Source organism: Homo sapiens, chromosome 4 (assembly GCF_000001405.40).
Source record: "Homo sapiens chromosome 4, GRCh38.p14 Primary Assembly".
NCBI lineage: Eukaryota > Metazoa > Chordata > Mammalia > Primates > Hominidae > Homo > Homo sapiens.
The window spans coordinates 146,105,397-146,128,712 of record NC_000004.12 but is presented as its reverse complement, the minus strand read 5'-3'; the positions used below and the strand labels follow the sequence as shown (position 1 = coordinate 146,128,712).

The following is a 23,316-nucleotide window of genomic DNA, read 5'->3' as shown; positions in this document are numbered from 1 at the left end:
CATAAGAAAACTGTTGACATTGGCTATCTTAAGAGAGAGGATAAGGGTCAGAGGTAGGGAGAGGAACACTATAGAGAACTTAAATCATATGCAATTAACAAGCTACCCAATATACAAACTATGCATTCTTTCCAAATCCCTATTGGATATTTTTAAAGTTTATTATGTACCAGGCCATGAAAAACATTAATAAATTCTAAATACTATATACAGACCACATTCTTTTTTGTACTCTTCAAATTTTTCTTCTACCTAAAAAAAATAAGATGAAGTGCATTTTATAATCTATTGTTTATAAAAGTAACCTCTAGATCAAAAATACAAATCCTCCAAATTATTAGCAGAACCACACACAAAACAACAAAGAGCCCAAATAGTGGAGAAACATTTTTAAAGCCATAGAAATAGAAAGCATACTATTAAAAAATGACAGAAATGTAAATAAGTTAAATCCACCTATTAAAGAAAAAGTTTATAAAATTGGATCACAAAGAAAATTAAACTCCGTGTTGTGCATATGAAGAATGCTTAAAAGATAGACATTTAGCAAAGGTTAAAAATTAAAAGATGGTTAAAGTTATACCATGAAAATATAAACAGAAACAAGTCAGGGGTCATGATTTTACTATCAGAAAAGGTGAACTTGGATCATAAAGGATTAAACAAAACAAAGAAAGGCACCTTATAATGCTAAAGGGTGTAATTCATTATAAAGATACATATTCATAGATAATTACATAGAAAACTGTATTTTCTGAAACTGATTTCAGAAAAGATATCCACCAGATTAATTTATTATCTTAAAAATAGACAAAGTTGTGAAAAATCTAACTCAAGACCCCTTAAAAATGTTTCTAGACAGTTTCACATAACAATTTATGTAAATTTCTAAAGAAAGATGATTCCAATGCTCTTGAGACTGTTCACAAAGTATAGAAGAAGGAAAGCATCCATTTTCTTTAACTGAAGTGAGTACAACACTGCAAAAGCTAACAAATTGCACCTAAAAGAAAACTACATACTAAATTCACTGATGACTCTCCATAAAAATATCATAAATAGAATATTAGTAAATAGAGTTCAACAGTATCTTGAAATAATAATGCACCATGACTAGGGTTTAAGAATGTAAGAAAATTTCAATATTTAGAAATCATTCATGTGATTTTCCATATTACTACATATAAGGAGAAAAACCATATGATTATCTTCACAGATGCTCAAAAGCATTTGGTAAAATTCAAAGATATTCTAGACCAAATTCTCAACAAAACAAGGCTAGAAGGATATTTCTTCAACATGATTTTTTAATCTATATATAGTCATGCGTCACTTAACAACAGGGAAACATTCTGAGAAGTGCGTCATTAAGTGATTTCATCGTTGTGCGCACATCATAGAGTGTACTTACACAAACCAAGACGGTATAGCCTTCTATACACCTATGTAATAGGATATAGCCTATTGTTCCTAGGCTAGAAGCCTGTACACCATGTTACTGTACTGAATACTGTAGTCAGTTGCAACACAGTGGTAAGGATTTGTGTATCTGAACATATCTAAACATAGTAAAAATACAGTATCATAATCTTATGGGGCCACTGCTGTGCCCCATAAGATTTATCTATTATACATGTTTATCAGAACATGCAGTCTGTTGTTGACAGAAATATTATACAGCACATGGCTGTATTTATGCAACAATAGATAGATTAGATAGATAGATAGATAGATAGATAGATAGATAGATAGATAGATAGATAGATAATCTTTTCTCCAAAAACAGGAACTAGACTCAATTTGAACCAGACTGTGAACTCTAAGATTTACCAATTGACTAGGAACCACACTTGAGGCATTATCAACCTGTGGCTCCCAACTGATATGGGTCCCACTTGGGGGTCCCCAACAGTTGTAAAAAAAAATTCTTTCCATGGTACCAGCTGCACTCCCAGTACCAACTTTTAGCTGGAAGCCAGGCATTAACTTGCATTCCTCCCCAAAATATGGAAATTTCCACCTAGGGATTGGAGAGATGGTCATAAGAGACCTTCAAGTGTTTAAGGAAACACCATCAGTAGATCATGTAGCCTTCATATGATGTAGGGATCTCTCCAAAATGAGGCCACCCTTAGTTACTTGGGGTTGCTTCTTGGAAAGATAACTTGTTATTTATGCACACTTTGAAATCGATTGTCAGGAGTCTTCCAATTAGAAAAGTTAGTAAAAAAAAATTGTCTTTGACTTTAGCTGAAGTAATCAGTGTTACCATCTGAGCCTCAGAAGGCATTTAGATTAGCCTGAACTCACTGGTCAGAGTTGTTATGGGTGACAAAATTGCCCTAGATTTCTTCATCATGAGCCAAGGAGGAATCTGTGCAATCAGTAATGCATCCCGCTGTACCTGGAGTAATGCCTCTGGCCATCAATGTGGAAACTTAAGGAGAAAGCCACCTGACTTCTAAGGTAGATGTGGATAGTTTATGAGATGTGTTTAGCTATTTGGCCTGTAACTCTGGGGATCATGGTTGAGGTCAGTACTGGTTGTTCTCATCCTGTTAATAGTAGCCTTAACTGTGGTAGCCTCACAGTGGCCTCGTAAATGCTGTATGAGATTATATTGAATGAATTTGCTTCCAGCCTCTGTCAGTCAGATTACTCAGATTAACCAATGAAGTGGCATACTGATGGAGAAAATTCTCCAGAAGTCACTACAGTATAGAAGAAAGTGTGGATATTGTTGGGGGACAACCTTCTATTGACCTGTTACATTTCTGACTATCTTGAAAACATATATTGACTGCCCTTTCTTTCAGACTATCTTTTCAAGGATATTTGCACAACGTACAGCCTTGGAACTTAAAGATATGTCTCCCTCCAGAGAAAAATGTAGATTTTCTTACAGCCTTGAATGATAAAGGTAATGTATGTCACCTTCTGGAGAAAAGATCACACATGCTTATTGCCGAATATAAAAGATTCAAGTTCCCTAAGCTCAGGGTTTCTCTTCTGTAAGGCAACCTACTGCATATACAGGCATCTATCTGGGCCTATCTGAATCTCTCTCATAGGACTTGAGAGCAAGGATAACTGACACAAATAGGCTGATGTTCATGCTTCTTGCTTTCTATGAGTAATAAAATCCTGTGTCTCTGATCTAGGAGTCTCATGTCTTCTGCCAGCAATCATGCTGTGACAAGCCAATGTGTTACCTTGCAAGTAGGGTAAAATCTCAAGCCCTTCATATTTCTGGATAATAACAGAAGACAAAAATGGAGTTGTCTAGCCCAGTTTATGGAGAAAACTATTTTTAAAATCAAAATACTTTGATTTCTTGTCTAATAAGAACTTACGTTTTCTTCCTATGCCTTGGGCCTGGTGGAATTGTCAAAGCCTTCCCAAAAGCTGCTCCCCAGTACAACCTCCAGGCTCACGTGCCAGTCCAGCCTTTTCTATTCTACAGTTTCTAAGATTTCTACAATTTTCCTAGGTTCTACCTCTGACCCTTCTTGAAGAAGGTCTTCCTTTATTTATTTTAATTTTAATTTAATTTAATTTAATTTTTGAGATAAGATCTTGCTCTGTTGCCTGGGCTGGAGTGCAGCTCACTGTAGCCTTGACCTCCCAGGCTCAAATGATCCTTCTACCTCAGCCTCCCAAGTAGCTGGGACCACAGGCACGCATCACCAAGCTGGGCTAATTTTTTTAATTTTTTTTTTTTTTATAGATGGGGTCTCCCTATGTTGCTCAGGCTGGACTTGAACTCCTGGGCTCAAGTGATCCTCCTTCCTTGGCCTTCTAAAGTACTGGGATTATAGGCATGAGGCCACCGCACCCAGCCTTCCTTTATTTGATACACAAAATTCCTCCCCAGGGACATCAAGCTGTCTTGCAAAACTGGTTTCTTCATTTTTCTTCTGGAGATTTCAATAGCCCTGGGTCCCTGGAAATCAAATTCTTACATCATTCACTCATTTATTTTGTCATTCACCAAATATCTCTAACACCTTATGTACTCAACACAAAGTAAGTGTACAATAACCACTTACTGAATGATTAATAAATCATTTAAATCAACACCATCTCTCAAATCAACACTCAAATAATATATCACTGTAAACTGTGAACAGTGCTATGAAAGAAAAGTACTAAAAAAAAGGACAACATTAACAGCTATAGAGGAAGTGGCATTTAAAGTGGGAACTGCAGGGGGAGTAGGAGTTAACTAGGTACAGGGATGGGGATATATTCCAGGCAGAGAGAAGAGCATTGACTCACTTTTCTTGGTCCTGTGCCTTTTTCCAAGTCACAGTCAATGGCCAGCTAGAAAGACTTTTCCTTTCAAGAGGCCCTATTTCTTCCTCCTCTTTTGTAAGGTGGACTCTGTTCCTCCTCCCACCATCATCCCGATGGCCTCAGTGGCAGGCATCATCTTTTCTGGAGTTGTCTCTGCTTCATCAGCCTCTCCACTGACCCCAAGAGGCTCCCCGTCGCAGTAGCTTCAGACAACCACGAACTTGCTCACTGAGGGGCGCATCCCACTCCTTGCCTATTTGCATACCCTGAGCCCAGTTACTCACACAACCTTTAATGGTTACTGCTTCTATATACATCTCCAGATTCTCATTGATAGCTCATCCCTCAAGCGACTTTAAAGAAATGAGATGCACATTAAGCTTTATGATACAACATGTCTTAAAAAGATTACAGAAACATCAGAACTAGAAAAAATAGAATGCCCACTCCTTATGGGATCATTTGTGAGCTAGGCAAATTCTTATAATACAAATTGACCTGGTGTTTTCCTGAACAAATTAAGTAGAAAGTAAGCCAGACACCAAGAAAAAAAAAAAACAACTCTGGTGGCCAATGTTAGAACTCATTTGTTGTAGCAAATACTGCTACCTTTAATCATATTAAAGTAGTTGCTGCTGCCTCCTCATGTGTTGGCACTGTAAACAGTACTTACAAACTACTCTATAATAAAGCATAGAGATGTCTATGTTTTAAACGTCCTCCTTCATCATTCAGATCAGAAAAGGGATGTGACTTTGAACAGAGGAAATACGTGAGTGACATTAAGTGTGGTATAAGCCTATTTTATGTTCCAGCTCTGGTATGGGGCTGGGTAAAGCATCAATTCTGGTAAATGCCAGCCAAATTTGCTGTCAATAATAAGATAAATCCATGACAGGATAAGAATTGCTGTCTACTACAGAAAACTGCTTCTTGTTAGCAACATTACTTTGCTGCTCTATGAACTGCTTCTAGGGGTGATGAGTAATATGACAAGCTTTTTGTGTGCGTGTCCAATAAAATATATAGTTTCTTGTAGCAAAATGAAACTGGGCATTGAAGCTATGTACAGTACCTAGATTGATATTTTCTTAGCTATTAACTTGAATTAATCCTGATATGATACTATTTTCATTTGAAAAAAAAGTGCAGATGATTGCTTTTTGGAAACCTAATTCTGAGTCTCTGAGGTATTTTTCAATTCACCCAGTCTACCTCTTTCTGAATTATAAGTTTAACATTAAATACAGTCACCAATGATTGTTTAATAACCTCTTGCCTGAGGAGTGTATGGTTTAAAATCCATAGATCTTTGGTTTCAAAATTGCAAACCAAATAAGAGCCAATATGAGTAGTTATTGAAGGAAGATTCCATTAAGTATTCTCTGAACATTAATATAAAATGACAACAGCAAGAGAACAACTGTTAAGGAGTATCCGTGGGCATAAGGGAATTATTGGTCAAATTGAAAAGAAAATCAGTAAAGCCTCTCCCATTTAAAAAAAAAAAAAAGACCAGGAAAAAGTTTTTCTTCTTTTTACATTGAATGATTAAGGAGAACATTACACAGAATTCAAGAGGAAATGAATCCAGGGATTGAGAGCAGCTGGCTGTGACAGTTAACCAGAGAGAGGAAATCCAAATGATGTGTTTTCAGGACTTGCACCTTGCAGAGCGCTGCAATCTATGCTGGAGAGAGGCTGGAAAGGCCTGTAGACTGAGTTCTGGGAATCAAAACCCAAACCAGCTGTGCCAACGGGCTGGATAACCAGGTTTCCACGAACAAAAACATAGTTGCCAAGTTCAGATTAACTTTTTTAAAGAAAAAAGCAGCAAGAAGTTGATCATCTTACACGTGACCCAGCCAAGGCAGGGACTAATAAAGCACTCTGCTGATGGACTCTAATTGTATCGTATTCTCACTGTATGGCTACCACTGGCAGCAGACTTACTCGTGGGGTTAGAAGCCTCTGTATCCTTTTTCTCCACAACCCTACTCATATTCCCACCATAAACCAGGAGTACCCACTTTGAATAAAACCTTACATAGATAAGCAGAGAAAAGGAAACAGAAAGCATGCTGATGATTGGCAGTCTCCTAAAGTACCTTCCTCTAGGTCAAAGCTTTCTATTAGGTTGGTGCAAAAGTAATTGTGCTTTTTGCCATTTAAAGTAATGGCAAAACCACAATTACTTTTGCACCAACCTAATAGTTCATCTTCCAAGCTGAAATCATCAGGAGTTTCATTTTTTCCCTTTAATGCTTTAAGGTATTAAAGGTTGTCATCCTCCTTAGTCAAAATGACCAATTCAGTTGTCTGGACAGGCCAGCAAAGGTGCCTCCTGGCTATAACGCCTCCATATGGTGAAGCTTTAGAGTGTCTACCACAACCGCAGCCTCTTCTGAAAGATCCTTTGCATAGGTCAGTGTGTTGGCATTGTGTGATGTCACAACCACAGTCAGTGCTGATTGGACCTGTGATGGGTGTTTGTTAGCTATCTAGAAGTTGTCCAGGGCTCCCTGAGGGAGGCCAGCACAAGAGCTCTGCCATAAAAGGACATTGGACAGAAGTGAAGAGTCCAATCAGAAACTCTTTTTGAGAGACTGAACGCAAAGCATTCAGAGAGTCAGCAGGCTGGAGAGGCCAAGACACACACACGAAGAAGGCAGTAAGTAAAAACTGGGTGGTAGGAGAAGTTATGAGTAAACAGAAACCTGGAGATAAATAGAAGAGATTAAAAATAGTTATTCCATCGTAGTAGTAACAGGAGCAGAAACAGAAGCCAAGAGAGGGTAGAGAATTAGTCCTAGCGAAGAAAAAATGAGTGCAGATAAGCAGAATGGAAGACCGGAATCAGGAGCACAGCCAGCTGCTAGAGTCAGTAGACGTTATTATAAAACTTTTCATTGTGTCCCAAATAGCCATAATATTTAATTCTCTGGTGGCTTAGCTTGAGTTATTTTCATTTTTTCTGAGTTTTCGTACTTTCCTGGTAATCTTACAATAAGCTCTGTTAACTGAGATAATGGATTATTCTTTATTCTTTGCATCCTGTAAGAGCCTAAGCAACTTCTCAGGTCACCTTGTAAATGGCTCAGAGTAACACATTTGAATGTAAAATACTGTCTACAAAATCCAAAGCTCCCCAGAGTGTACCATTTTAATAGGTAGGGGCTACAACATGTACCAATCTGGCATTCCCTTTGAAGAAGAAATTCCAATATCCTGGGACTATCAAATTCCTGGAAACTTTATTGAAAGGGTAGGCTCCTTCTTGCACTTTTATAGGATATATCTCCTTCCCTCTTATAGACATGTATCTTACCATGGCATTGAGAGTAGCTCTTAATTTCTGCTCTTCAACTCCTGTCAGCATGATGTCATCAATTTAGTGTACCTATGATCCAATGATGTTTTATAGGATGATGGGATGTTCAAGGCACTGATCTCCCGTATTGTGGTATAAAACCTGAGATTTGATGTAACTCTGAGACAAAATAATAAAGGTATTCTGCTGTTCCCACCAGGTGAAAGCAAACTTGACTGTTTTCTCTGCTTAATGGAATATAGCAGGGGTCAGCAAAGTAGAGTCTGAAGGCAAAATCTGCCTTGCTGCCTTTTATAATTTTTATTAATAGACTTGCATTTTTAGAGTAGTTTTATATTTACAGAAAAATTGAGCAGAGAGCACGTTGAGTTGCCAGTATACCCATAATTTCTCCTGTTATTAACATTTTATATTAATATGGTACATTTGTTACAATTAACATAGATTGATATACTATTACTAAATAATCCTTTTTATATTCAATGTTCTACTGGCAAGGCTGAGAATTCAACAGATCAAAGCAAAATTCAGAATTAACCATTGCATTTGGTTTGCAGCTATTTTGGCCCTGCTGCAAGAGATTATTTTAGAATAGTTATATATGATTCCTTTTTTTCATAACTGTGCCTTGGGCTGAGAATTTAGTGATTTGAGTTTGTTATTTTCTCTATTTAAACCTCTCCTGATTGTTCGTATTAACCGTACCACCTCACAGTCCTTGTGTGACCCTTTCCATCCATTCTCTTCAGACTTCCTTAATTTTGACCTAATGTCCTTTTTCTGTTCCAGGATGCCATCCAGGATACCACATTACATTTATTTGTCACATTTCGTTAGGCTACTTTGACTATGAAATTTTCTCAGATTTTCCTTGTTTTTGATGACCTTGGCAGTTTTCTTTTTGAGACAGGGTTTTACTGTGTTGCCTAGTCTGATCTTGAACTCCTGGGCTCAAGTGTTCCACTTGCCTCAGATTCCCAAGGAGCTGGGAATACAGGAGCTCACCACTGCACCAGGTTCACCTTGGCAGTTTTGAGTAGTGGTTAGGTATATTGCACAATGTTCCTCTATTGGAGTTTTTCTGATGATTTTCTCACAATTCGAACGGTGTTGTGGATTTTGGGGAAAGATCACAAATTTAAAGTGCCCTTTTCATCACATCATATCAAGGGTACATATTACCAACATGATGTATGACTGTCGATATTGACCTCAAACACCTGGCTGAAATAGTGCATGTCAGGTTTCTCCACTGTAAAGTTACTTCTTTCTGCCTCTCCTTACTGTATTCTAGGGAGAGAAGTCACTATGCACAGCCCACACTTGAGTGGGGAGTTATGCTCTCCCTCCTTTAAGACAGAGTATCTATGTGTTATATTTGGAATTCTTCTGCATGAGAGATTGTCTCTTCTTCTCACTTGTTAGTTTATTAAATCATGTATTTGTATCAGTATGGAATCTTGGATATTTACTTTATACTTTGAGCCATAATCCAATGCTACTTTATTTTATTGCTCAAATTGTCTCAGCTTTGGCCATTAAGAGCTCTTTTGGTTGGCTCCTAATGACATACCCCCATCGATGTGTGTGTGTGTTTTTGTTGGTGATGGTTTTTTCTTAGTTTTTTGTTTTGTTTTGCTTTTTGTTATTTGTGAGCACATCCTTACTTTTTGGTGTAATTAGATGATCTGGGCCCATGTGGTATATTTCTCACCCCAGTCCTAGAGTCAGTCATTTCTCCAAGGATCCCTAGTTCCTTTTATTGAAGAATGATATTAGAAACCAGGATCTGAGAACTGGATGTGCTTGTTGCTACTGGGGCACTTACTGCTCATTTTGTAAATAAAATTTAATTAGAACACAGCCACGTCCATTTGTTTATGCATGGTCTATGGCTCTCATATTGCAATGGCAGAGCTGGGTAGATATGACAGATTCCTTATGGTCTGCAGAGCCTGTCATTACACTTTCTGGCCTTGGAATAGAAAAAAAATAAACAAAAGTAGTGACTGCACGTTTAGGCTCTAATGATTTTCTTTAGTAAGGAGACTTCATCAGGAGTAGAAGCTGCAGTTACAGTCATCAGCTGATTAAGTTTACAATAATCTACTCTGCTAAGATCCATCCATGTCCTGCCCTAGTCAAATCAGAAAGCTATATGGGGATACAAAGCTACTATATGCTTCCAACACTTAATTTATCACTAATCTTTGCAGTTTCCTCATGAATTTTAGATTGGTTTGATTAATTCTTTGGGAAGAACCTAGTGAAAGCCCTGGAATATCACTGCCCCCCTCCCAAGATCTAGATAAATTCGTCTCCATTTAAATGTATGTTCTCACCCTCCTTGACCTAGCACCCCATAATCCATTACCCAATCATATTCCACAGATATTTTTGCTAACATAAAGTAGGAAAAAATATTCTTTTTTTTTAGAAAGCCTTTTCCTTTGATATTTGACTTTGTAACTGCCCCACGACCACCATATACACAGGCATGTTGGCATTTTAATTATGGCACTGTGGAAAATGAAGGAAATTAGGAATGTGGAAGTAAAGAATTGACATGTCCTTGTAGAGTAAGTCCTCAGAGAGGTTCTTACAGGGTTTTCAAATAAGACAAGAACAGCCTCTTCACAGTTGATGCTCATCAGGACATAGACAGACTTTTTCCACTTTATGCTGTTAAAATTCACTAGAATTTGCAAAGACTAGCTTCTTTGTAGGGATTCATGAACTGTGACCTATGGATATATGTTCCTCCGTGACCCTCAGAGGGGCAGCAGCAATTGGAGGATCAAAACCTTATGAGGCCTCTGAATCCTTCCATATATCCCCATTTCAGTGATCAGGGTTCCACATTTTTATGTTCAGTGTTCTACTGACAAGCCTGAGAATTCAACAGATCAAAGCAAAATTCAGAATTAACCATTGCATTTGGTTTGCAGCTATTTTGGCCCTGCTGCAAGAGATTATTTTAGCATAGTTATATATGACTCCCTTTTTTTCTAACTGTGCTTTGGGCTGAGAATTTAGTGATTTGAGTTTGTTATTTTCTTTATTTAAGCTACTCCTGACTGTTAGTATTAATTACTTCACCCCATAGCCTCCTTGTGTGACTCTTTCCACCTATGCTATTCAGTGGCAGTGGCTACTCAGACCCCTAAAATGTCATTGTCTTACCCCTGCATGTCATAGACTAACAAATTCTCATTCTTAAATACTACTACTGAAATTTTACTGCCCTCATCCCCAACTTTCCCAACAATTACTCCCAGAATCCCTCCTTCTCCCCCTTCCCTGAGATGCTGGAATCACTCCTGGTTCTTATATCTGAACTAGCCAGGAATATTAGACATAAATTGGCTGTTTTCATTAGGTCACACTAAACCTAGAATAGGCTGGTGGCTTTCAAAAGAGACCCCCAAAGACAGTGGCTCAACCAATATAGGCTTATTTCTCTCTCACATAACAACCCACAAGAACACAGACCCACAAACATAGGAAGGTGGTTCTGCTACATAAAATCATCCAGAGAGCCTTGTTCCATCTTTCTAGGTGCCCTGTCATCTCCTCAAATGTTGCTCTTATTCACTGAAGCAAGCTGACTCCCCAATACCATGTACATACTGAACCCAGAAGAGGGGAGAAAAGAAGGAAGGATTGTGCATAGGAGTTCCTTTTGAAGAAGTGACATGGAGGTTAGACACATCACTTCTGCTCACATTTCCCTGATGAGAATTTAGTCACATGGCCATGCCTGGCCACAAGGAAGGTTGGAAAATTTAGTCTCTAAAATTAGAGCAATTATTTCCCCTTTTCCTTTTAGGAACAGAGCCTCCTGTTTTCACCAAACCTAACAATGATCAGCCACACTGACTCTGATTGAGTTAAGTAGAAAAGAAGTTTATTAAAAGATGACCAAGGAGCTCACAGAAACACCAGGAAATTTTGAGAAGGTTCAGAAAACAGGTAGAAGAAGAGAGACTCTAGGTATCTAGAACCCAAGTACAAATCATGCCACAAGAACATGAGCAATGGGCACTGCTGCTAATAGCACTAGACACTGGACATCAGAGCTTGCACTTGCCACCAGCAGAGGAAACCAGTGAATGTTACTTTATAGGGCAAAGGGGACTTTGCACATGTAATCTTGGAAGAGTATCCCGGATTACTTAGGGCTCAGTGTAACCACAAGGGTCCTTATAAGAGGGATGCAGGCGATCAGAGGGAGAAGTAGGAGAGGTGATGACCGAAGCAGAGATTGAAGTGATGCAGCCACAGGCCAAGGAATTCTGGCAGTCACTAGAAGCTGAAAAGGGCAGGCCCCAGCTCTCCTGAAGCTCTCAGAGGAAGCAATCCTGTCAGTTCCTTGATTTTAGCACTAATGTCAGACTTCTGACCTCCAGAATTGTAAGATAATAAATTTGTGTTCCTCACCACAATCAAGCTAATTAACATTTCCATCACCTCACATAGTTACCATTCTTTTTTATTTTTTATTTTTATTTCTTGGTATGGTAAAGACACTTGGGATCTACCCTCTTAGCAAATTACAGATATACAATACAACATGATCATTGTGTTGGTTTCAGCTTCAAAGGGTCAGGTAACCTGTTACAGCAGCAATAGAAAAATGAACACAGCAGCTTTTGCCTGGAGACTCTCCATTGGCCAAGCCAAGATTGTCTCAGAATTCTGCTGCACTCTGAGGCTCTTCCCACCATTCTTTGTTTCTCATTATCCTTTTACAGTTGTTAGACCTGTCTCCCAATCTAATGGCTCTCTCCAACTCCCACTCCCTTTCTCTTTATCCTCCAGAGCCATTTTCCCTAATGAATTTCTTTCCCTAATAAATCTCGAATCCCATCTTGGCATCTGCTTCTTGGATGTTCTCAACTAAATAATGCTACCAATCCTACTCTCTCTTGTGCCCCAGGAAACTGGAGGCTTTAGCTGCCTTCTACCCCACCACCCCACTCCTCAGAATAGACTCTCTACCACTCCTCTTCATCGGTTCACTAGCTTCCAATGCAAAGTCCTGGGGTGGTGCCTGACTGGCCAAGCCTAGGTCACATGCCCCCTCTCCAGGGCAGGAGGCTGGAAAAACAAGTCTCTGGCCTATTTGACCTCCATAGTGGAGGTCTCTAACCCTCATGGAGACTCATACAGTGAGGACATCCCTAAACATAAAAAGTGGGTTCATGTGCTACCAGGTACCCCCAATGTCTATGACAATATCCCTCCCTCAAATATTGTGAATCCCATCCTGTGTGAACAAGAAACATGTAGTCTTCTTTTGCAAGAACTTCTGAAGATTTGTCAGGGAATGCTTACACCAGCTCCGTGCTTCCTCTTGTCATCTCCCAACCTTATCTCTCTGTTAATCGGTTGCCCCCTGTGGACACCAGCTCCTCTCTTTATTCCAACATGGCTGACACCAGCCATAGAGAGTGACAAAACTTTACTGAGGGTTTGAGAATAACATGAGGAGTCATACCACATGCCTTAGTCCATTTTGCGTTGTTATCAAGAAATGCCTGAGGCTGGGTAACTTACAGAGAAAAAAGATTTATTTGGCTTACTATTCTGATGGGCTGGAAGGTTCAGGATTAGGCATCTGCCATTAGGACCTTGGGCTGCTTCCACTCACGACACGAGAGGAAGGAAGCTAGTGTATGCAGAGATCATATGGAAAGGAAGCAAAAGAGAGGTGAGGGTGCCGGGCTCTTTGTAACAACCAGCTGGATCGGGAACTAATGAGATGAGAACTCACTCACCCCTGAGGGAGAGTATTAATCAGTTCATATGGGATCTTCCTCCATGACCCAAACCCCTCTCATAAAGTCCCACCTCCAACACTGGGATCAAATTTCAACATGAAGTTTTTTGGGGTACAAACATCCAAACCACAGCACCACCAAAAGGGAGATAGAAAATTCTGTATCACTGCTCCTAAAGCAGATTGGTCATAACCCCATCGAAGGAATCCCTTGGAATTAAACTCTGCTCTTAAGCTCCTGCCTGCCACTGTGGTGCTAAAGTCCATTTCTCCTCCTCTCCATGAGCCCCCTGTTTTATCACCACTCTGCCCATCTCCACTCTTCCCTGGCCTGCTTCTTTCCTGAGGAAGCCATAAAATATATTAGAGAAAAAAAAAATCTCTGATGAGCAGCTTAGCTTTGCTCCATCTTAATCTGTTTCTTCCAGAATAGAAGCATGGCCCTATCTTTGTTTAACTAAAGAGCTTATATCGGTGTTTTTCAAATCAAAAGGATAGTCTCCCTGAAAATGAATTCTGCCTCAATCTCTAGAGTCAGAGGTGCAAATTCTAGGTAGATTTAAAAATAGCAGTGTCCCTAGGATGGTTAATTTCAGGTGCCAACTTGACTGGATTAAGGAATACTTAGAGAACTAGTAAAGCATTCTTTCTGGGTGTGTCTGTGAGATGGTTTCCAGAGGAGACTGGAGTGTGTGTCAGTAAACTGAGTGGGGAAGACCTGTCCTCAATGTGGGGGCATCATCCAAATGGCTGGGGGCACAGATAAGAACAAAAAAGGCAACAACAGCACATACACAAAAAGAGATTTTTTTTTTTCTCTCTCTCTCTCCTGGAGCAGGGACACTCTTCTCCTCCTGCGGTTGGACTCCAGGCTCTATGACCTTCAAACTCCAGGACTTACACCAGTTGCCCCTGGGCACTCAGGACTTCTGCTTCAGACTGACAGTTGCAGGACAGTGCAGCATTTTATTTTAAAGATACCCCACAACGTAGGTGGCCAGTCCTGCTGCAGGTGCGGTTTCAAGCCTTTGGAGTTTGACCTTCTAGTCCAAGGTCATTACAGCTGCAGGCAGAGGCTCCCGCGGGGAAAAGAGCATTTCCTGGGACGCTGGAACTAAATGAATGGCCCACTCTCCAGTTCAGCCCTTGCCTCCTTCCCGACACATAAAGTTCAAGAGCCACGGTCCTGAGTGCATAGGAACAGCCCCATCACCCTTCTCCCTCTGGGCAAGCTAGGAGCAGCGGTGCGAGGCTCCATTTCTTCTTCTCTGCCTCCTGGACCTCAGCCACCTCTGCTCAGGCACAGGCCAGCTGCCCAGGCGTCCTCATCTGGCGACCAGCTCTGACCGCAGCCCTGGTCTGCTCTCGGGGTCGGGCCCACACCCCTCTTCTTCCTCCTCTTCCTCCCAAGGCCTGGGCTCGGGTCCCTCTTCTCACCTTTCCCTTTCTTGCGTTGCAACCGTAACTTGGGAAAACCCTTCTTGATCTTCCTCTCTCACCTCCTTTCAAACACATGCTTGCAGGCTTTTTCCCGATCTCATCCTTAGGGCAGATACGCTCCCTTGATTCTGAGGTCTTTGAACTTGCTGTGAAGCCACACTACCTGCGTCCCAGGGTCTCCAGCTTGCAGATGGACTGTGGTGGGACTTCTCAGTCACCAAGGTCGTGTGAGCCAATTCCCCTAATACATCCCCTCTCATCTATCTATATCAGTAGAGATACCAATATCAGTACAGATATAGCTCCTATTGGTTCTGTCTCCCCAGACAGCCCTCACAAACACGGTTCCTGAACCCACCTCACACTGCTCCACCCCACACCCAGACAAACGCACACATAGAGGTAGGCAGGTAAATACATAGATCAATAGATTTATGTAAACTGTGAGCATCACGCCTGAAGAGAACTCCCTATTTCCACACCGTGTTGCCACAGCACTCCTACTTCCCACATCTGCCTCCAAATTGGCATTCTTCCTTCCATCTCTGCTCATAGGTCAGGCGACCCACCATGAGGTCACACCCCTTGCCGAGGACCACAGTTTCACAGACACTGTGCCTTCCAGCCACCCCGCTGTCCTGCGGCAGCCATGGGAATGTGGTGTTTCAGCAGTCCTCGCGGTGTTCCTCATGCTGACCCTGCTGAGTTCCAGCCATCTCACCGGATCCAGTGGCTTGGGAGTTTGGGTTCATAAGGATTTGAGCTCTGCTAACATCCCTGACAGGAAAGAAGCAGAGTAGCTTTTAGGGACAAACCATTCCAAGGAGAAGGATCACTGCACAAGGACCCTCTCACTCTCTCCCCAGAATCTCCCCTCTCTCTACAGTGCTCTAAATTCTGTCCTCATCACCCCTGCAGTGTCTCTTCCCCATTTCTCCTCTACCATAGACATAGACAAAGCATCACCCAAAAAGGGAGAGGGAAATATGACTGGGAATTCTTTAGAGGTGAGTGGAGTTAAGAACCTGAGCTGGATTCTTCTCTTTTACAAAGCAAAACTAACTAAATACATAAAAATTTAAATTTATTTTCCTTTCTTCCTTGGTCCAGTGAAGACTGGACTCTTCAAAGTGGACTTTGGTAAAAACAAAAGAGAAAGTTAAAAAAATTAAATTCTAAAGGCTAAATTTACACTATAGAGATTTTTAATAACTGAATTCTGGTAACAAGTTGGTTGACTCAAGCTAAGATTCTTTTCCTTCCACTTCTGCTTTCTTATTGTTGTTTTTGGTTTTATTTTTGCATTTGTGCTGTCACACACAGGATTTCTCCTCCTTTCATTTATTTCCACCAGCAGACCTGCACCAATACAAAAATGTGCCCTGTTAATAATAATAGCTGCTGTTTATTGATTATTTACCACATCCAGGTACTTCATGTAAGAATGCTATACTGTAGCTAATTAAGATAATCACAGAAAATTATCAATAGGTAACTTCGGTTACTATTTTCTACATGCTAGCTTTTATTCTCACTTCATCCTTACCATCATGCTAGGAGGATAGGTATTATTATCACCATTTTAGAGATGAGAAAAGTGAAGTAAATACTATTAATTTCATTTAGAAGATAAGTAGATGAGGCTTAATCACACAGTTATTAAGTGGCAAAGACCGGATTTGAATCAAGATATCTGATTTTTAAAATTCACCTTGTTTCAAAGCATTTTACTTCACCTAAGAAGTTAATACACCTCACAACCAGATAACTCCTTCTTTTCAATTAGACTGTGTCTGTATCTGGGATCAGTTGCGAAGCAGAAGTATGACGTGACTAAGGCCACCGCTGGGTTAGGATACCCCCATCCAAGGTCAGGTTCTTAACTTCACTTAGCTCTGAAGACTTACGATTAGTTTTTCCTCTCCCATTTTTTGGGTAGCCCTTTCTCTTCTTTTCTGTGGAAAAATTTGTAACTTACCAGAACAGTTCACAATATGACAACATTGTAGTGGTGACATCACAGAGACAGAAGGAGGAAGAATGGCAACCCTTGGACTCCTGGGGATGTGGGAGCTCCTTGACCACATGTGGTACCTCTCTTTCCTGATCCCAGATTGAGAGCTGTACTAGCCTGGCATGCAGACAGCAGCTTTAGAATCAGATCTGCCTTCTGGCGGCTTCCCACCTAGGAGCCATGGGACCTTTGTGAAGTCACCAATTGTGCTGTGGATGCTTCATTTGTGAAGGAGAACAGGACTGCCTTGTAAGTTGCAATATGCGTTAGAAATAGCAAATAAACAGTACTTAACTCATAGGAGGCCTGTGATAAATGGGAGCTTTTATCATAGACTGACTTTCCTGCTCCTGTTTTGCTTCTTCTTTATGTTTAGGTGAAATTACGGATGGTGCTACTAAAACATATCAATAATTTGAATTTCACTTTTGTGGATGCTTTAAACATCATAGTCATTAGAAGGTGGATCTGGCTGATTGTACTTTAAGTTTTCAGTTTGAGCTGGAGCTTTGTATTATAACAGGAGGGTACTGGACAAGGTGAGTTGCTGATAGCCTCCCCCCACCTGCCAACAGACCTATCATTAGATGGAATGTAATGGACTTTGGCCAGTTGTTCTCCACCCCAGCTCTGACTTAGCGGCTCTGGCAAGAATGGATATATGAGCCTAAATACAGAGCTTGTTGTGCTACTTTTGGCTTTCCTTGTCATTATTTCTTCCTCTAAATTCAACAAATCATTACTTCCTCTTTTATTATGTTTTAGTATGAGTGTTTTAATACCACAGATATTCAAAATAAGCCTGTGGGAGACACTGGGTTATGAGGTGATCATACATTGTTCCTTTAATTTTCAGAACAACACAATAAGATAGGGACCCTGTCCCAGAGATGACTACATTGAAGTTCAGAGAGTTTAAGTAACTTGCCCAAAGTCACATCGCTAGTGAATAGCAAAACGAGGATTCAAGCCTAGGCCTGCCTATTTTCAAAGTTTATGGAAGGAATTAAAACATTTCTTAGTCTAATTTTCTCGGAGTTTTGTTCTGCTTTGTTTTGTTTTGTTTGGCTTACTTTCTTCATCAGCCTAATACCTGCTTCAAGTCTAAGTGAAGCTTTCACCTCTGCCTGGAAGTCTTCCCTGTCCCTGTAGGCTGTCAGGTGGCCTTCTCCCAGCCCCCATAGCATCCAGCATAGAAGCTGATCACAGCACTTACCACCCAGTGAAAAGTGTGGGCACAGTCCTGTCGGCCCCTTCCTCCTAGACTGTGCACCCTTGGGCAGCATGCTTTGCTTCCACAACACTTGCTACTTAGCAGGGGCTCAGGGCAAATGTGTGGACTTGAGCTGCCAAATTGAAGCCATAGGTCAATATTAGAACTAAACACTAGTGCTAAAGTGAAAACTTTAAGATGCACATAGACCAGTAATCCCCAAATGTGTTTGCTGAGGAGTGTGTGTGTGTGTGTGTGTGTGTGTGTGTGTGTGTGTGAAGAGACTGTGTACCACTGGCTTTTTCTCTCCTGTCATACTTTCACTCCTGATGGACTAGGCCTATGGAGTGTTCATTTTTCTCCCTGAACATTAGACATCTCTCTGCTGCCTTTAAATAAAATTCCTCATTTTACCTCTCCTCTTCTTTTCTTTATTTCCTTTGCTTCAGACAAGATATGAGCCCTTAACTCACCATAATTAACCTCACAATGGGCTACTGTTTGTTTCATATTGGAGACCACAAGATGGATCAGATAATAGTCCAATATTTTTGGACTACAATTTCCAATATTATTCCAATATTGCTGGAATATTATTCCAGTATCATCTACTATTTTCCCGATATTATTATTGGAAAATAATAGCATAGCTATTATATAGAATATTTACCCTGTGCCAGGGACTGTTTCAAGCACTTTACTTACATTAACTCATTTAATCTTCACAACAACTTTATGAGATTCATACTATTAGTATCAACATTTTACAGATGAGGAAACTGAGGTACAGATGGGAAACTTGCTCAAGTTCACACAGCAATTAAGTGATCAAGTCCAAGAGCAAAACCAGGCAGGCTGGCTCCAGAGCTCACGATAGTCCACCACTGCTTTCCACCATCACTACGGAATCAAGTCCATGAGGATACTCACCTTATGTCAGTTGCCTAAGTTGGAAATTATAGAATCTTCAAATTGGAAGGGACGTTATCATCCAAGATTTCAACTTTCTACTCACTGCAAAATCCCTTCTGGAACTTCCCAGATTGATGAATTTTCATCAGCTCTGCTTGAGTACTCCCAGTGACTTGGAAAAAAAACACTGTAATATGGATATGAAATATAAACTGTTCATGGATAAATTATTGCATAATAAAAACATGCCTAATGGCTACACTCCCCTAATATGTTCATTTGGTAATTATTTTTTATTTGCAAACTTGTTTTGATAGAACTGTTTCTTTTAAAAAGTTTAATTTGTCTTGAGATACATTTTCCTTTTATATCTTCTTATTAATGGGCTTATTTTCAAAGAGGAAGGTACAGCAAAGGTAAAAGAAAAAACTCATTTTCTCATGTTGTTTTGGGGTAAAAAATAAAGGCTAACAGTGGGTGAGTGATCTTTTTAATATTTTTAGTTAATTTCCCACACATACTTTAAAAAGTTACTATGGTACTGTTTTCTCCTACTATTAAAAATCTGTTTGAAATGAACTACTGGAAAAGTTAGGACATCATAAATCATCTTAAATAGAATAATTTATTTGATGTTTAATCCCTAATTAAGATGAAAATATCAATTGCAGCTGTTCGTTAGGTATGTTCTTAGTTTGTGTTTGGGCCACAGCAGGGGAAGAAAACCCAGAATTTCATAATTTTAAAGAGATTTCTAAATGCTCTGTGTTACACAAAACTTGCAAGTATGGCATTGTGGGAGACAACAGCAGTGTCATAGCTGACATTTGGGTTCTGGATTCAGACTGCCTGGGTTTAAAGCCCTTCAGTCCCCATCTTGATACAATGTTAAAAACATTCAAAGTTTTTAGCACAATGCCTAGCACTTTAGATGCCCAGTGAAATGCTGATATTATTTTTCCTTGTCCATTGAGATCTGTTTTGAAGTATAGGCAAAGCTTGGGACTGAGAATAAAGAATCAGCATCAAAGTCTTATAGTTCATCGTTTTAAAACTGTTTTCTCCAATTTATCCAAAAATAAAATTGAGGGAGTAAGATAGCCCGTGGTTAACATATCAAAGCACCAATAGACAGATTAGAGACTAAGAAGGTACATGAGCACTACAGGCTAAGATGTGGCCAGAACGCATGTCAGGTAAGAAGGGATACCCAGAAATCCTATCTTGGAGGCATCAGGTGAGCATGAGCAAAAGGATATCCCAGGCCAAAGGAACCTTGAATTAAGCAAGCTCTTTACAAGTCCTTCCTTGTGAGGAAGGAACGGCCCTGGGCCAGGCTTCCAAGGACTTCCATTTTAGTCCTGGGTCTGCCTTCTGTCACATTTCAGGCAGGCCATTTAAATTCTCTGAGCCTCAGTAACATTTTTTTTCCTGCCTACCTTAGGGTTATTGAGATACTGTGTGGGAAAGGCCATTGAAACAAAGTTTCAGAGCACTATCTATAAAACACCACATTTTATCACTAATAATCCCATCTTCTAATGTAATTACAGACTTCCCAGGATTTAGCAACCAGGGCCTGGAAGGCAGACAAAGGTAACTGGCCCCATGTGATAAAAACAGGTACAAACTTTCTTTTCTTACCTCACAAGCCTAGCTTAGTGCTGGACACTCAGCAAATGCTAACAAAGTGCCACGCATTGGTTTGAAAGGGTTCACTTCAACCTTGCCTTCTTCAGGAAGCACTTACAGAGAGCACTTTTCAGTGGGTAACAATGTGACGTCAAATGCTCAGTTTAAAACCTCCTTCCAAATAAAAGGAAATTCATCCTAGAAATGGCTAGAATGACAGAATGAAAACAGAGCAGTATCTACCTGGGCTTTAGTGCCAGGAAGTGACAGTCATTGGCTATGTGTTCAATTACATGGCCGAAGTTAATAGGTAATCAAATATTATGCAATAATAGATTAGTTGCCTTTCCTTGTTGCTAATTATCTAAAATATCTCTATATTGCATATTTAAACATAAAAATTTCCCTAAGGTGAATGATACACTATGCCATTTTTAGTGATTAAATGTGGCATTTTCTGCATCTTAATGAAACCATTATTTTTGTTCAGCTGAGTGATTTTATTAATTAAAAGAATGTCAGGAGAGTGGCAGCATGGTCATAGAGTTCTCAGAGAGTCGTAGCATTATAGAGCCATAAAGGACCTGACCAAACCCAGCCAGGGACTCTCAGTTTACCTGTAATTCTCCACCTGGAAGTCAAAAAGCTGGGTTCTGATATCATCAGTACTATGTGACCCCGGGCAAGTCATTCCAACTTTCTTTGACTGAGTTTATTCTTCAGACAAGGGATCTGTAATGCCATGATACTTTAAATTAAGCTTTTCATGTTGACATATGTTTATATATTGTTACACTAATAATGATGTGTCCCAACAAAGTATGGTTTTCTTTCTCTTTCTGACAACAAACACAGGGACTAGCTGTATTTGAATTCTCTGTTATTGGGAAAAAACATGGCTTTTCTTAATAGGCTGTAAATAACCTGAGGGTGCAGTTTGGGGTTCATAATTTTGTGTCCCCCATGGTGCCTTTAACATACTACTAGAAAGAAATAGAATTTCATTGTTGCGTGTTTCAATGTATTTCGGACCAAAGCATCCTGCTCTGAAACATCATTAAGGGAAAAAAATCCTAGCATATTGTGGGCCTCCAATGAAATGAATGTTAATTGTGTTGCCCAATACCAATTTATTAACGTTTATGAGCATACAACTGTGCGTGCACAAACACAGTTCATATATAGTTCTTGAAAAAAGCATTTGGGGTTTTCTACCACATGATGCTTTCAGTCAGTACCTCCTACCATTAATTTGTGTTCAGAGCAGTAGTTCCCAAAGCTACCCCTTCAGCAACATGTATGTTGACATGGATGTTGAAATGGATGATGTAAATACAGCCATTCAGAATAATCTGGAATCCTATTTTATGATTTGGAATGCCCAGAATGTCCAAGACATGACATACTTACAATTTCTCAGAAAAGTCACACCTGAAAAAGGTAAACACTCAACATAGACACTTAGACTTTCCAGGCATCTTAGCTACAAGACCAATGGTGTCAGTATCTTGAGTTCTGTGTTCTATAGGAGCTTTTTTTTTTTTTTTTTGAGATGGAGTTTTGCTCTGTTGCCCAGGCTGGAGTGCAGTGGCAAGATCTCGGCTCACTGCAACCTCTGCCTCTTGGGTTCAAGCGATTCTTCTGCCTCAGCCTCCCGAGTAGCTGGGACTACAGGTGCTCACCACCATGCCAAGCTAATTTTTGTATTTTTAGTAGAGATGGGGTTTCACCATGCTGGCCAGGTTGGTCTCAAACTCCTGGCCTTGTGATCCACCCACCTCGGCCTCCAAAGTGCTGGGATTACAGGAATGAGCCACCATGCCGGGCCCACAGGTCCACCCACTACTCCAGGAGTGTGTCGCTTCCTGCACTGGTGACAACACAGGGAGCCCATGATGTGCAAGTTTCACAACACATGTGGTTCGTTTTCCTCCCCTAATGACTCAAGAAGAGAGTTTTAGAATTCAGGCTGAGTCTCAGTAATTCAATTGTAGAAAAAGCAGGCAAAGCTGTAGCTCTGTCTTAATTAGTTTCATATGTGAATGTATTAATTGTTTCATTAGGAAATGTATTAGGTAAATTGAATGTGAATGTGGTGGATAAGGACACAAAAGAAATCCCTTGAAGGTTCATGATTGTTCCATGTGTAGGCCCGGGAGCATCTTCATTAAGGCAGGCAGTTTTGGGCCACCCGATCATGACCATGGATCTACGTGCTGGAACTTGAAAGTATGTCCACGCTCAAGATTTCTGTCTCTTCTAAAGCAAGAAAGGACTGGTTTTGCATGCCCTGCCTATGCACATCTTTATGAAAATGTAACCTTTTCACTCACTTTCTGAACTCCACAAAAGAGTCAGCTTTCTCCTGTTGGTGATGAAACCAGCTGTTGAAATACTTCAATTGGGTTGCAGTTGCTTCTCCTGTGAGCTGCATGGCCATCTCTTCTTTTGTTTCAAAAACTTGGCTGGCACTTTCAGCAGCCACTGTGAAGTTGGTAAATATCTAAATGACTTCTTCATTTTCTGACCCTTGAACAGAGAAGTAGAAGATTTTCTGTGTTCATAACTAGCATGTCTGGATTGTGTAATTTCATCTTTGCAAATATATCACCAATTCAAGGAACAGCTTTAGCTTGTTTGGTTTTTGAATAGTGTTGACCATTATTTCCTAAAGAAAAATCACCCAAGCCTTCCCT

The 23,316-nt window shown here is 40.1% G+C and overlaps 2 long non-coding RNA genes across 2 annotated transcripts, besides 1 other annotated feature; one reads left to right on the top strand and one right to left on the bottom strand.

Annotated features, from left to right (window-relative positions):
* Nucleotides 1-6,799: 6,799 nt before the first annotated feature.
* LINC01095 (long intergenic non-protein coding RNA 1095) lies at nucleotides 6,800-19,258 on the top strand. The gene is made up of 6 exons (NR_038331.1): nucleotides 6,800-6,967; nucleotides 14,248-14,421; nucleotides 14,957-15,071; nucleotides 16,963-17,112; nucleotides 17,240-17,402; nucleotides 18,847-19,258. It is a non-coding gene; the product is annotated as a long intergenic non-protein coding RNA 1095 (long non-coding RNA).
* On the bottom strand, nucleotides 19,088-23,036 carry LOC105377469 (uncharacterized). Its single transcript, XR_939294.1, has 3 exons — nucleotides 22,954-23,036; nucleotides 20,633-20,828; nucleotides 19,088-19,175 (listed from the first exon to the last, which is right to left on the bottom strand). It is a non-coding gene; the product is annotated as an uncharacterized LOC105377469 (long non-coding RNA).
* Nucleotides 22,423-22,472: an enhancer, noted in NCBI's record as "active region_21979". NCBI's record gives its function as "activates an Ori minimal core promoter by ATAC-STARR-seq in GM12878 lymphoblastoid cells {active_cell/tissue: GM12878}" and the evidence as "EXISTENCE:reporter gene assay evidence [ECO:0000049][PMID:35858748]".
* Nucleotides 23,037-23,316: the final 280 nt, after the last annotated feature.